Below are 1038 nucleotides of genomic sequence, written 5' to 3' on the forward strand. Positions count from 1 at the left end.
CTCAAATATTAACTGTATGTTGGCTAAGTATTGACAGATGCTCAATAGTAAATGTATGCTTAAATGTTCAAATATTAAACATATATTGCTCAAATATTAAATGTATATTGGCTAAGCTTCCTGGCGCCATGATGTTCCCCAGTGCCAGCTGTCAAAGCTGCTTGCAGGACGCCTGGTCCAGCCACAGCCTCACAGGGAGTCAACGCCCGTGCCAGCACCTGGAGCTGCCCGTCCTGCCACAACCAGCATGCCTGGTTGTGCACAGTGGTGAGACCCCATGCTCATTCGCTCACACATCCTTTGCTGCTACACTCACCATTGCCAGGCATGGGATTCAGGCTGGTGGCATGAGCTGAGCGCAGGTTGCCAGACTGAGTGGGCCCAGCAGACCCAAGCAAAACTCAGGCAAAAGTGCCACTGGCCACAGAGGTTTTCAGCTGTTGAAGTGACAACCCAAGGATCCCGTTACAGTAACACAATGATATTTGTGTATCTAAACATACAAAAGTCACAGTATGAATATGATATAAAAGGTGAAAAAATATATACTTGTATAAAACACCATAAATAAAGCATTCAGGACTAGAAGTTGCTCTGAGTGAGTTAGTGAGTGGTAGTGAGTGACTATGAAGGCCTAAGATATTACTGAGCACTAACTTTATATTTCATAAACACTGTACACTGGCTACACTAAATCTAGTTTTAAAAATTCTTTAGTAATAAATTAACCTTACCTTACTATAACTTTGGTACTTTATAATTTTTAAAAATATTTCTAACTTTTTCACTCTATTTTAATAACAGAGCTTAAAACACAAACACATCGTACAGCTGGACAAAAATGTTTTCTTTCTTTATATCTTTATATAAGGCTTTTCCTATTTGTATTTCTTTTTTTTTTTTGCTTTTTAAAATTTTTTGTTAAAAACTAAGACACAAACACACACTTTAGCCAAAGCCTATACAAGGTCAAGATCATCAGGACATTACTAGGGGACAGGAATTTTTTTTTTTTAGAGTGAGACAGAGTCTCACTCT

General features: G+C 38.5%; 1 annotated feature.

Moving 5' to 3' along the window:
- Positions 248–747: an enhancer, noted in NCBI's record as "H3K4me1 hESC enhancer chr5:84607579-84608078 (GRCh37/hg19 assembly coordinates)". NCBI's record gives its function as "activates a minimal SCP1, AML or CMV promoter by ChIP-STARR-seq in naive and primed H9 embryonic stem cells {active_cell/tissue: H9 hESC(naive and primed)}" and the evidence as "EXISTENCE:reporter gene assay evidence [ECO:0000049][PMID:30033119]".

Source organism: Homo sapiens, chromosome 5, assembly GCF_000001405.40.
Source record: "Homo sapiens chromosome 5, GRCh38.p14 Primary Assembly".
In the NCBI taxonomy this organism is placed as follows: domain Eukaryota; kingdom Metazoa; phylum Chordata; class Mammalia; order Primates; family Hominidae; genus Homo; species Homo sapiens.